The sequence below is a fragment of the Homo sapiens genome, chromosome 1 (assembly GCF_000001405.40).
Source record: "Homo sapiens chromosome 1, GRCh38.p14 Primary Assembly".
Lineage (NCBI taxonomy): Eukaryota > Metazoa > Chordata > Mammalia > Primates > Hominidae > Homo > Homo sapiens.
Window position 1 is genome coordinate 38,706,648 of NC_000001.11, and position 14,109 is coordinate 38,720,756.

Consider the following 14,109-nt stretch of genomic DNA (forward strand, 5'->3'; position numbering starts at 1 on the left):
AGCAGAAAGGCTATTCGAAAAAAAAAGACAAAATTTTTTTCAAATTTGGTGAAAACTATAAAACCACCAACGTAGGAAGCATAATGAACTCCAAGCTGAAGAAATCTAAAGGAAACCATTCCAAGGTACATCATAACCAAAATGCTGAAAATCATGATTAAAAACAAAAAATCTTAAAGGCAGGCAGGCATTTTATGCACAGAAAAGCAAAGATTAAACTGATAGCAAATTTTATGTCGGAAAGGCATGCAAGCCAGAAGAAAATAGAAAGACATCATTAAGGTACTGAAAGAAAAAGAAAAAAAAATCTGTCAATGTAGAATTTTTCTTTTTTTTTTTTCTTGAGACAGAGTTTTGCTCTTGTTGCCCAAGCTGGAGTACAATGGCATGATCTCGGCTCACTGCAACCTCCGTCTCTTGGGTTCAAGCGATTCTCCTGCCTCAACCTCCCGAGTAGCTGGGATTACAGGCATGCACCACCACACCCAGCTAATTTTTTTGTATTTTTAGAAAAGGGGTTTCACCATGTTAGCCAGGCTGGTCTTGAACTCTCGACCTCAGGTGATCCACCCGCCTCAGCCTCCCAAAGTGCTGGGATTACAGGCATGAGCCACTGTGCCTGGCCAAACTAGAATTTTTTACCGAGCAAAAAAATCTTTCAAATCTAAAGGTGAAATAAAACTGTTTAGACAACCAAAAACTAAAACAAGTTATCGCCTGCAGAGCTGTTCTACAAGAAATGGTCCAAGAAGTTCTGCAGGCAGAAAGAAATAATACCAGATGGAAATTTGGATCAACACAAAAGAATGAAAGAGCAGCAGAAATGGTAAATATGTGGGTAAATATAAAAGGCTTTCTTTTTTCTCATTTTGAATCTCGTTAGAAGAGTATTTGTGTTTTAATAAAAAGTAACAACAATGTACTGTGGAAGTTATAGCATGTGTACAAGTAACATGTATTAAAACAATAGCAAAAAAAAAAGGATGAGGGAAATAAGAGTATACTGTTGTAAACTTCTTACATTGTATAAAGTGGTATAATATTATTTGAAACATTTGACTGTGATGAGAGAAAGATGCATATATATAAACCTTGGAGTCACCACTTAAAACTATTAGGTTGGTGCAAAAGGTTGTGGCAAAAACCGCAATTACTTTCACACCAACCTAATACAACAAAGAGAAGATAAGCCAATACTGAAGATTAAAATGAAATTTTTTTAACTCATTTATTACAAAAGAATGCAAGGAAAGAGGGGAAAAAGGAACAAGGAACAAATGAGGAAATAAAAAAGAAATAGGAAGATGGTAGAGTTAAACCCATTTATATCAGTAACTTTATTAAATAGAAAGTCCTATGGCCAGGCACGGTGGCTCACGCCTCCCAGCACTTTGGGAGGCTGAGGCAGGTGGACCACCAGAGGTTAGGAGTTTGAGACCAGCCTGGCCAACGTGGTGAAACCCCATCTCTACTAAATAAACAAAAATTAGCTGGATGTGGTGGCAGGCACCTGTAATCACAGCTACCCGGGAGGCTGGGGCAGAAGAATCACTTGAACCCAGGAGGTGGAGGTTGCAGTGAGCTAAGATCGCACCACTGCACTCCAGCCTGGGTGACAGAGTAAGACTCCATCTCAAAAAAAAAAAAAAAAAAAAGTCTAAACAGCCCAAAAGGCAAAGAGTATCAGATGGGATCCATCTGTATCTTTATCCACAAGAAACCAACTTTAAATATAAGGACACATATAGGTTAAAAGTGCAAGGATGTAAAAAATACACCATGTTAACACTAATTCAAAAAATTTATAAGAAGTAGATTTTCAGAAAAATCTCACACTTAGAGAATACACCACTCAACAACAGAAGAATACATATTCTTTTTAAGTTCACATGAAACATTCACCAAGATCATATCTGGGTACAAAATAAGTCTCAAACTTAATATGATTAAACTCAAGCAAAGTATGCTTGCTGACCACAATGAATTTAAACTAGAAGTCAATAACAAAGACATCTTTTAACTGAAAATCCCTCAAATGTTTGAAAATTAAACAATAGAGACGCCGGCCGAGACAGCGCAGACAGACCGACCGACTGGGGTGTTTCGTGAATGTGAGAGGTAAGCGCCGCGGCCTGCATTTCCAGAGCTGCCCTTCGCCTGGTTCGTGGCGCCTTGTGACCCCTGCCACCTGCAAGTCGGTAACCGCGCTGTGCTCCTGTGCTGCGGCCTGTGGCTGGACTGCCTGGGATGCCCTGCCTGCTGCTGCCCGACTGGCTGGCAAGATGAAGCTCTCCCTGGTGGCCGCGATGCTGCTGCTGCTGCTCAGCGCGGCGCGGGCCAAGGAGGAGGACATGGGCACGGTGGTCGCCATCCACCTGGGGACAACCTACCCCTGTGTCGGCGTGTTCAAGAACGGCCGCATGGAGATCATCGCCAACGATCAGGGCAACCGCATCATGCCGTCCTATGTGGCCTTCACTCCTGAAGGGGAATGTCTGATCGGCGATGCAGCTAAGAACCAGCTCACCTCCAACCCCAAGAACACGGTCTTTGACGCCAAGCGGCTCATCGGCCGCAGGTGGCACGACCCGTCTGTGCAGCAGGACATCGAGTTCCTGCCGTTCAAGGTGGTTGAAAAGAACACTAAATCATACATTCAAATTGATGTTGGAGGTGGGCAAACAAAGACATTTGCTCCTAAAGAAATTTCTGCAATGGTTCTCACTAAAATGAAAGAAAACGCTGAGGCTTATTTGGGAAAGGTTACCCATGCAGTTGTTACTGCACCAGCCTATTTCAATGATGCCCAATGCCAAGCAACCAAGGACGCTGGAACTATTGCTGACCTAAATGTTATGAGGATCATCAATAAGCCTACAGCAGCTGCTATTGCTTATGGCCTGGATAAGAGGGAGGGGGAGAAGAACATCCTGGTGTTTGACCTGGGTGGTGGAACCTTTGATGTGTCTCTTCTCACCATTGACAATGGTGTCTTCAAAGTTGTGGCCACTAATGGAGATACTTATCTGGGTGGAGAAGACTTTGACCAGCGTGTCATGGAACACTTCATCAAACTGTACAAAAAGAAGACTGGCAAAGATGTCAGGAAAGACAATAGAGCTGTGCAGAAACTCTGGCGCAAGGTAGAAAAGGCCAAACGGGCCCTGTCTTCTCAACATCAAGCAAGCAGTAATTGAAATTGAGTCCTTCTATGAAGGAGAAGACTTTTCTGAGACCCTGACTCAGGCCAAATTTGAAGAGCTCAACTGGATCTGTTCCAGTCTACTATGAAGCCTAGCCAGAGAAGTGTTGGAAAGTGTTGGAAGACTCTGATTTGAAGAAGTCTGACATTGATGAAACTGTTCTTGTTGGTGGCTTTACTCAAATTCCAAAGATTCAGCAACTGGTTAAAGAGTTCTTCAATGGCAAGGAACTATCCCGCGGCATAAGCCCATATGAAGCTGTAGCATATGGTGCTGCTGTCCAGGCTGGTGTGCTCTCTGGTGATCAAGATACAGGTGACTTGGTGCTGCTTGATATATGTCCCCTTACACTTGGTATTGAAACTGTGGGAGGTGTCATGACCAAACTGATTCCAAGGAACACAGTGGTGCCAACCAAGAAGTCTCAGATATTTTCTACAGCTTTTGATAATCAACCGTTACAATCAAGGTCTATGAAGGTAAACAACCCCTGACAAAAGACAATCATCTTCTGGGTACATTTGATCTGACTGGAATTCCTCCTGCTCCTTGTGGGGTCCCACAGATTGAAGTCACCTTTGAGATGGATGTGAGTGATATTCTTCAAGTGACAGCTAAAGACAAGGGTACAAGGTACAAAAATAAGATCACAATTACCAACGACCAGAATCACCTGACACCTGAAGATATTGAAAGGATGGTTAATGATGCTGAGAAGTTTGCTGAGGAAGACAAAAAGCTCAAGGAGTGCACTGATACTAGAAATGAGTTGGAAAGCTATGCCTATTCTCTAAAGAATCAGATTGGAGATAAAGAAAAGCTGGGAGGTAAACTTTCCTCTGAAGATAAGGAGACCATGGAAAAAACTGTAGAAGAAAAGACTGAATGGCTGGAAAGCCACCAAGATGCTGACACTGAAGACTTCAAAGCTAAGAAGAAGGAACTGGAAGAAATTGTTCAACCAATTATCAGCAAACTCTATGGAAGCGCAGGCCCTCCCCCAACTGGGGAAGAGGATACAGCAGAAAAAGATGAGTTGTAGACACTGATCTGCTAGTGCTGTAATATTGTAAATACTGGACTCAGGAACTTTCGTTAGGAAAAAATAGAGAGAACTTAAGTCTCAAATGTAATTGGAATCTTCACCTCAGAGTGGAGTTGAAAATGCTATAGCCCAAGCGGCTGTTTACTGCTTTTCATTAGCAGTTGCTCACATGTCTTTGGACGGGTCAGGAGAAGAAGAATTGGCCATCTTAAAAAGTGGGTAAAAAGCCTGGGTTAGGGTGTGTATTCACCTTCAAAATGTTCTATTTAACAATTGGGTCATGTGCATCTGGTGTAGGAAGTTTTTTCTACCATAAGTGACACCAATAAATGTTTGTTATTTACAAAAAGAAAAGAAAAGAAAAGAAAATTAAACAACAACACACTTCTAAATAACATATAGATCTAAAAAAACCATGACAGAAATTATAAATATTTTGAACCAAATGAAAACTAAACCACAACACATCAAAATGTGTGAAGTGTAGCTAAATCAATGCTTAGAAATTTATAGCATTAAATGTTTATATTAGAAAATCATAAAATTCTGAAATCAATTCTCTAGTGTTCACCTTAAGTAATTTAAAAAGGAAGAACAAGTTAAACCCAAAATAAGCAGAAAAGGTAAATAAGAACATAAATCAATAAAATAGAAAACAAAAATAGTGGAGTAAATCAATGAAACCAAAAGCTGACTCTTTGAAAAGATCCATAAAATCGATAAACCTTTAGTCAAACGGAAAGAAACAAAAGATAAAATACCAATTACCAATACCAAGAATTAAAGTGGGTACATCACTATAGATCCTGCAGATTCTAAAAGGACAGCAAGGGAATGATATGGTATGAATAATTTTATTCTAATAAGTTATATAAGCTAGATAAAATGGACACGTCTTGAAACCCACAGGCTACCAAAGCTCACTCAAGAAGAAACAGATAACCTGAATAGTCCTATATCTATTAAAGAAATGAACTCATAACTAAAAACCTTCCACAAACTCCAGTCCCAAATGGCTTCACTGCTAAATTCTAATGAACATTAAATGAAGAGATAATAACTATTCTGCACAAACTCTTCCAGAAAATAGAAGGAACATTTCCCAACTCATTTTATGAAATTAGCATTACCTTGATACCAAAACCAGATAAATAAATTAAGAGGAAAAAGACCCCACTGACCAATCCCTCTCATGAACATTAGATACAAACATCTTTAACAAGCAAGGGACTTGCTAGCTGTGTGGAATTCTGCTGACAGGGGTTACACGAGGATAGAGAGGTTATTTGAATTCAGCAACATGGAGCTCCAGTGTTCCTACCTTCCAGACTCAGGACCTCTCTGCCACCTGGACATTCCTGTGGTTCCTTCAAAACCTCTCAGGCCACATACCCCTGCTTACCAATTTCAGCCAGTTGGCCACTTCACTCAGCTCCTGTCTACCACAACCATCATTCAGGTCACAGCCTACCCTAAGGCTGTGGCAGATATTGATCAGTGCCTACCTCCAAATTAGAACCACAGACTTTCCTAAAATTTGATGATGGGGGTGCAGGACACGCGATTAGCATATTCTCAGGGTATGAAGATTGGCAGGTTCTCAGGCCACAGGGGTCAGGAAGCTAAAACTGAGACTGGCAGATTATTCTTGAGGATCCCTCTTGAGGTCCAGTGGTCCCTAAACAGCATGCAGGCAACCACTTTAATATCAATGATTGGCACAGTCCTTGGTGATAACAACACAGGAAAGGAAGCTGAGCAAGGCAGCCCAAAGCAACACCTTCTGGCTTCTCAATTCTGCCCCTGGACACAACAGACTCACACTATGTGCAGTCAGGCTAGAAGAGTCCTGGTGTCCCTTACTCACTGAGCCCCAGCCAAAAGCTGGGCCCATGCTGGACACTACAAAGAATACCAAGGTACTGCTTAGCACTCCGTCCTTCACAGAGTCCCTATCCTGGTTCCTTGAAGCCATCTTAAATGTATATATGATGTATGAATATATTGTTGTTTGCTTCTCTCTGAGCATGTGTGTCAGGTTAGGCCCTCCTAGAAGCAGATGCCGGAACAGAATCAGAAGCGCAAGGTATGAATTGCAGGAAATGTTTGTGAGAGTTAAAGGGCAGGGAGAATCTGCAATCTGCAATACCAACCTGATAGCTGTGAAAGGGGAGGGGGAAGGAAAGAGGATTGGACAGGAAGACCCTCAAACTGCAGTGCGGCTCTGAGGAGCCCCAGAGCACTGATTGCCCATTAGAGGAGTCCTGCATCAAGCAGAAAGTGGTCCAGTTCCATTACCCCCACAGTGCTTGGTGGTTGGCCAGGCACAGCCTAGGGAGAATGAGCCTCAGCTGAACATCTCAGAGATCCAAAAGTACAGCACCTGGAGGCTGTCAGCCACTCCCTGGTCCTTTTGAAAGGAAAGCTGGGCCAGGCGCAGAGGCTCGCGACTATAATCCCAGCACTTTGAGAGGCCAAAGCAGGTGGATTGCCCAAGCTCAGAAGTTCAAGACCAAGCTGGGCAACATGGCAAAACCCCATCTTTATAAAAAATACAAAAGTTAACCAGGCATGGTGGTGTGTGCCTGTAGTCCCAGCTACTCAGGGGGTTGAGGTGGGAGGATCACCTAAGCCTGCAGTGAAACTCGTTGGTGCCCCTGCACTCCAGCCTGGGCAACAGAGTGAGACCTTGTCTCTAAAAATAATAATAATAATGAAAGGAAAGCTGTGTGACCCATCTCCATGGCCAACATCACATTGACGATTTCATTATAAAAAAAAGGCTTTGTCCTCATAAGGTTTGTTAAATGGATAACAAAGGGATTAAAGAGTCAAAAGGATTACGAGTCTGAAATATTTGAGAATAAACTAGGAGAGACCAGGTCAGAACAAAGCTCTTACAACTCAAATAAGAATTAGGACACTTCTCTTTGTTTTCTTTTCTGTGGTGTTTGGTTTTATCAATTTATAGCTGATTAAAGTGAGTTGACTTTATTTACAGTGGTTTATGAGGAATGCTGCAGAGGTATTTTCCTGAAGTGAATTGTTCAGTCTTAAGATGCCAGTCTAAATCAATTCAGCCTTGATCAATGAAAACTCAGGCCCAGGCCCCATTTCAGTCTGAGGACAGTGGCTGGGGGCAGAGGAGAGGGAGAACTGTACTCAGCATAGCTCATGGCACTCATGCTTGGCTTCAGGCTTCCGTGAACTCATTATGGATCCTAAGGAGCTAAGTGTATGGTCAAGAGCCAGTCAAGTAAAACAAGCATTAGCAGCAGATTCCTCAGGAAACAAAGAAACAAGACTATGCAGCTCTGAAACTGAAATATGGAGGTGAGCAAGGAGGGGTTCAGTCTTGAGGAAAACATCATTCTGATGTAGGACATGGTCTAAATCCTCTTTGAATATCCAGCCACTAGAAGGTACACATAAGTTTTGTTGGATTAACAAGTGAATGTGAAAAATGGCAACCTACCCCACCCTCCCCCATTTCACTGGGGACCTTAGGGGAACAAAAGAGAAGTCACTCCCAGTCAAGAGGAACTAAGGACAACCTCCAGAGACCCAGCACCAAGAAACCAGTGTCAGAGGAGGAGAAAAGGCCAACACTAAACTGGGAGCCACCCAATGGGTCCAGGAGCTAGACTGAAGGAGTCATGGAGGCTGCCTGGAAGCAACAGAAGGTGCCAGCAAGATAAGCACCCCAGCAATCCTCAAAGATCACAAGGGGAAGGATTGAGAATAAGCCTACAGTGGAGTCTGAGACAGGAAGACACTGTTTTTATTATTATTATTATTATTATTATTATTATTATTATTATTATTCCTGCAGCTTTCCCTTACGCCTAAGCTGATGGGACTAGAAGAATCTTGGATTAGCACAGGTTGACAAATTATCCTCACAACAGTAGTGAGAAGTAGTGATTATCCCATTAAGGAGGCCAAGGTGAATGGCAGAAGGCATATCATGGAAGACACAAGGAGAGCTTTCCAAAGGAGGGAGTAGCCTGCTGGCCCACCATACGCCGGGGCAATAACTAACTCTCTAGGATCCAGAGCCCAAAGGGAATGGGATCAAGAGAACAGATGAAGACATGTTCAAGCCTTTTTGTCTGGGAGGGAAGGTGATAAAAGGCAAAGAGTTCAGAATTCATATCAGAAGCCTGGAATTTGAATCCAGGACCCCCTCTTCCTATTTCTGTGTGCAAGCCATTTAACCCCTCTGATTCTCAGTTTTCTGATATGTAAAACAGGGCACAAATGTTAACACCCATTTCAAAACCAGAAGTGGATATCAAATGCAATAGTGCCACGACAGGAGCTTCACAGGCCCACCTTATGCTATCCCCAGACCCCACCATTAGCTAGCACAGAACTCTGGGCACTGCTGGTACTCAAACTGTGCTGCTTGACAAGGCCTGATGAGAAAACGAACACACCCTGGGATCAGGCCTCAGAGGGGAGCTGACTTGAGGTCTATGTTCTCATACATTGACCAAGGCAGAGGCCAAAACCATCTCTCTAGAGCAGGTTTTCTCCTGGGGGTATCTTGTTCCCTCTTGGTGCAATACAAGAAAATAGGCCATGTGTTCACCACACCAACTGCAGACTGGCAAAGCAGGTATGAGATTAATGGCTTTTCTGTACAACAAAGGCCTTCCTGCACAGCAGCAGAATTCAATATGCAAACCCCGCCACCCTGGCTTCAGACCCACCCTCCCAGCTTGGTGGACAGCGGCAGCTCGAACCCCATAATATATGCACGCTCCGGCTGCTGGGCCCAAGTTATTATTCATTACAGTTTTCTATTACCCAGTGATAAATGATGCCCCCAGGCTGGCGTTGCCCCCAGAATGCTTATTACGGCTCACTTAAGTAGGCGTTGATTTAGCTTAAATCGGTTGTTCTGTTCAGCCCAGACACGGGCCTGCCCCAGCTCTGCCTGGAAGACTCTCTTCACCAGGGTGTAATTGAATTCTAACTACTCCTGGCCTCTTATTAGGAAGGGGTGGGATAGGAGGCCCCATGTAGGGCCACAGGATGGTCCAAGCCCCAGTGGTCTCTCCAGCCCTGTAGAATCCTAATTTAATAAGGGTCTTCCCTTTGACTCTAGCCAATAAATTTGACAAGCAACTCCAATTAGGCCTGGACGGACTTTCCTCACAGGAAAAATGATGAAATCTCAGGTAGAAGCAACTCAAGGGGTGCCAATATGACTGTTCTTAGGTCTTGCCTCTGGATCAGGCCACTCAAGTCATGGTATCTAGTTGCTGTCCAGATCCATTCATCAAATTATTTGCCACTGACAGAGCCAGGCTTGTCATCCATAAAAATCCAACACAGCTGATGTCCCTGGAAAGAGAATGGCCACACTGGAGACATTATGGCTACAAAAACTAGGACCTTCACCATGCATTCATGCAGCAGAGACTGACTGAGCACATAGTACGTGCCAGGTGCTGGTCACAAATAATTAACAAAGCAGCCAGTACTCTCTGCCAGTGTGGAGTTCACATTCTAGAGTTTACTTATTGTCGATTATGTGCCAGACATTGTTTTAAGGGCTTACCAAATTTAACTGTCATCATAACCCCATCCTGTTTTATAGAAAAAAAAATAAACTGAATCTTAGAAACACTCAGTGTTTTACCAAAGGTCACTCAATGATTAAGGGTTAATAAGTGACAGAGTAGATTTGAACACAAGCTTATAACCACAAGTTGCACTTCTTGTTTATGTTGTTATACATTATTACACCATTGTATTTGCCTAGCACATTAGAAGTTACAATGTACTTTTTCATATTCATTAATAATCCCTACTACAACCTCCTGGGCAGTAGGTATTAATTTTAATATCTCACAGCTGTGATGATTAAGAACATGGGATCATGATCATCTGGGCCTAGATAAGAATCTTTGCTCTGCCTCTTACTAGCAATGTGACTTTGGGAAAGTTCTTTATCTACTCTGAGCCTCCCTTTCTTTGAAATAAAAATAATAATACTACCTCAAAGACTGTGAGAATTCAATTAGAAATGGTATGTATTGCACTTAGAGTGACTTGTGTGTAATACATTTTGGTCTTGAGACCTTGGCAGGAAGGGGGCAATGCCAGGGATCAACTATTCTGGGTGGGAAATAAGAAAGTATCTTTAATATGAAGACAGTCCAGGAGGGTAGCAACAGAAGCCAGATCAAAGTTCTGGAAAAACCTAGTGATTTGGGGAAAGAGAATTTCTTCAGGGACAAGGTCTGAGGCTCAGAAACATAAAGGGCATAGGAAGTCTTTGGATCATTTTGTATCTTCTGCTACCATTTCCTTTTCTTTCTCCCTTAGTAAAGTTTTGGTTTTTTTTGTTTTTGTTTTTGTTTTTTATCTCAGCTCATTGCAACCTCCACCTCCTGGATTCAAGCGATTCTCCTGCCTCAGCTTCCTGAGTAGCTGGGACTACAGGCATGCGCCACCATGCCCAGCTAATTTTTGTATTTTTAGTAGAGACAGGGTTTCACCATGTTGGCCAGGCTGTTCTCAAACTCCTGACCTCAGGTGATCCACCCACCTCAGCCTCCCAAAGTGCTAGGATTACAGTCGGTAAAGTTCTTAGTAAAGGAAAAGCCCATCTGTCTCAGCTGGGAACCCAAGGGAAGGAATGATCATGAAACAATAATAACAAGGGCTAGCATTATCAAGCACTAAGAAGCACACTCAAGCCAACTCTGCACTATGTGTTTGATACATCTCAATTCATTTAACTTCACCACAAACCTCTGAAGCAGGAATTATCCTTCTCATCCACTTTACAGATAAGGAAACTGAGGCTCAAAAAAGATGAAAGAATCTGCCCAAATAATTTAGCCACAATTAGTAAGTAGCTACAACAGGATTCAAACCAGAGAGGAGCATAGGTCCCAGCCCCACTCAGTGAGGAATGGTCAACAACCTCACACCTGATGGCAATCAGAGGCAGTTTTCATAAACCCATTTCCTTCACCTTGTTCTTAACTATTCAAGGAGCTTGCACGCTGAGGAAGAACTGAGAACAGCTGAAAGCGAGAAACAACACAGCCCAAACTAGCCTGGAAGGCAGTCAAAACCCACAGAGCAAGCATCAACTAACTGGGCAGATTAAAAAATGTTCCAAACCATCCATCACATCCTTAGTGTCATCTCTCACCTGTTGTTTTTGTTTGTAATCAAAAAGAGGGGGTTTTACTACCTGAAGATGCTTTATCCAGCTTTTTGCATCCCTGAGCTTCTGAACTTGCTCCTCAGCTCTTGGCTACAACAATCGAAGCGTGGGAGACACAGCAATGCGTGGAGCAGGGATGCCTCCAGCGGAAAAGGAGGTCTGAGTGCTTATGTTACCCGGAAAGCTAGGTTAGCCCCCTGGTAGGCAGCATCTTCAGGACCCTAGGTCAGCCCCATGTTAGCAGTTCTCCAGCGTAACAGGACACATATGCAGGTGTCCACCGTCTCCACAACCCCAGGGTGTGAGCCACATGCTGCCCTGCGCCCCTGGCATTGATCTAAGGCCTGGAGGACATCTTCTTTAGACAAGGTCGCCTTTGGCTGCTAATAAAGTTCAGCTGTAGAATTATTCATCAGCTTTTTTTAAAAAAAATACATCATTTTCATAATAAAAATATATAACTATGTTACAGAAAATTTGAAAAATAGGGGAAAAAAGAAACAAAAACAAGCCATAATTCATTCATCCTGACACAATTGCTATTAGCATTCTTGGTGTGTTTCTTCTCCCCGAAGCTCTAGCTTTCACCTCATTGTAACCATGGCACACTCACAATTGTATATCCAATTTTTTGTGGCCTAATATTATATCCTAAACTTTTTTTGGCATCATACACAACCTAAATAACTATGATTTTAATCCTGCCTAATATTCCATGGATTTTGGCCATAATTTACTTAGGTGTTCTATTAACGAGTATTTCACTATCATAAGTAATGCTGCAATGAACATCTTTGTATTTACTGTTTTCTTCCCCAATATTTGGGATTTTTCCTTAAGGTAAATTTTCAACATATATGCCATATTTGGGTCAAAGGGAGTGACTGGTTTTTTTGACTAAGCATCAATGCCGCAAGCATAGGAGAGTATCCGGTTCAATGCAACACTGTCAACATTGATGATCTCTTTTTATCCTCATTTCATAGCCTAATTTTAAAAAGACCTCTTTGTTGTTCTAATTTGCTTTTTTGTGGGTTCTTAGAGAAGGGAGTCAGTATCATCATTTTTAAGAGTTAAAAGCTTTGGATTTAGGCTGGAGTTGAAAATAAAATTCTGCTATTCCATGAGCTATGGTGCCTTACTTAATTCTCTCTAGCCCCATCCAGTCTTCTCATCTGTAAAGTGGGGATAATACCACCTACCTACAGGACTGGCATTAGAATTCCATGAAATCATTTATCTTAGTCCAATTCCTGGCAAATGATTAGCACCACATGTTTCTGGTTGTAGTTTATCAATAACTTTAAAGCATTAAGAAGTGTTATTACACAGTCAATAAACATTTATGGAGGTTCTGGGGATGCAAGAAAGAATAAACCATGGGTCTTGTCCTTGAAGAGGTCCCAGTCTGGGAGGGGATAAATAAGTAAGAATAAAACAAGTGCTTAGTGTTACAGTAAAACCCAGACTGAGGCCGGGCGCGGTGGCTCACGCCTGTAATCCCAGCACTTTGGGAGGCTGAGGCGGGCGGATCACGACGTCAGGAGATCGAGACCATCCTGGCTAACACGGTGAAACCCCGCCTCTACTTAAAATACAAAAAATTAGCCGGGCATGATGGCGGGCTCCTGTAGTCCCAGCTACTCGGGAGGCTGAGGCGGGAGAATGGCGTGAACCGAGGAGGCGGAGCTTGCAGTGAGCCGAGATTGCGCCACTGCACTCCAGCCTGGGCGACAGAGGGAGACTCCTTCTCAAAAAAAAAAAAAAACAAAAAACAAAAAAACAAACAAACAAACAAAAACTCAGAATGAGGTAATGCTGCCCAAGAGGTCCAAACTGAGGGAGCTCAGGGCAGAGCCAAACCACATCTGGGAATCAGGAGAGCAAAAAAAAACCATTATGGAAAATGCACATTATGGAGGAGGCCCATTCACCATGGGCATTGAAGAACGGGTTGTGTTCTGGTGGTAGACATATGGGGGAGGAGGACAGGGTAGCGGGAACAGCACAGGCAAACGTCCGGAAGTGGGAAGTTTCACTCAGAATGGATACGGGAAACAGCAACTTGTCCCACTGGGTTCATGAACTGTCAGTCTGGCCACACCGGGTGGCTGATCTGACTGCAGGATGAGCTTGCTTCACGGAACTCTCTGCTGGCTCCCCAGGCCTTCTCATTAAACTTAATACTCAAAATGTCAGGGTAGGTGGAGAGAGTGTTTAAATTATAAAGTTTCCCTCTTAGAGCATACTCTTAACACTCTTTGAGATTAAAAAAAAAAAAAAGATGCTAATAAAAATAAGACCACCTCCATCCAGAACCCCAGAATGCTAATCAGTGCCTTGTCAGATTGAAGAGCCCTAACACACTGTGGGGCAGGGGATGCTGTGCCTCGCCAGGAAATCTTACTTTGAGAATCTTTCTCAGGGTCTAGCTGTTTCCCATCCAAAGCCCCAATAGGGTGTTGTGGCTGGAAGCCATAGTCATGGCTTAGCTCCATGAGGGGAGTTTAGACAAAATTCATCCTCCAAGACCTAATGCCATGATTCGCTCCTCTGACAAGCCGTCTGCCATCCAGCCCTAATAGATGACTTCCCTGATTGCCATAGTCCTTCATTCTCTCACAGCCCCATCCACACTCATTTTCTGGTCAGCTGCAAACTTGTCTTAT

The 14,109-nt window shown here is 43.0% G+C and overlaps 1 long non-coding RNA gene and 1 pseudogene across 1 annotated transcript in view; one reads left to right on the top strand and one right to left on the bottom strand.

Moving 5' to 3' along the window:
• The window catches only part of LOC105378660 (uncharacterized), a 35,682-nt gene that overhangs the window by 13,774 nt on the left and 7,799 nt on the right, over positions 1–14,109 (bottom strand). The gene's annotated exons all lie outside the window — the stretch shown is intronic.
• HSPA5P1 (HSPA5 pseudogene 1) lies at positions 2,083–4,442 on the top strand (annotated as a pseudogene).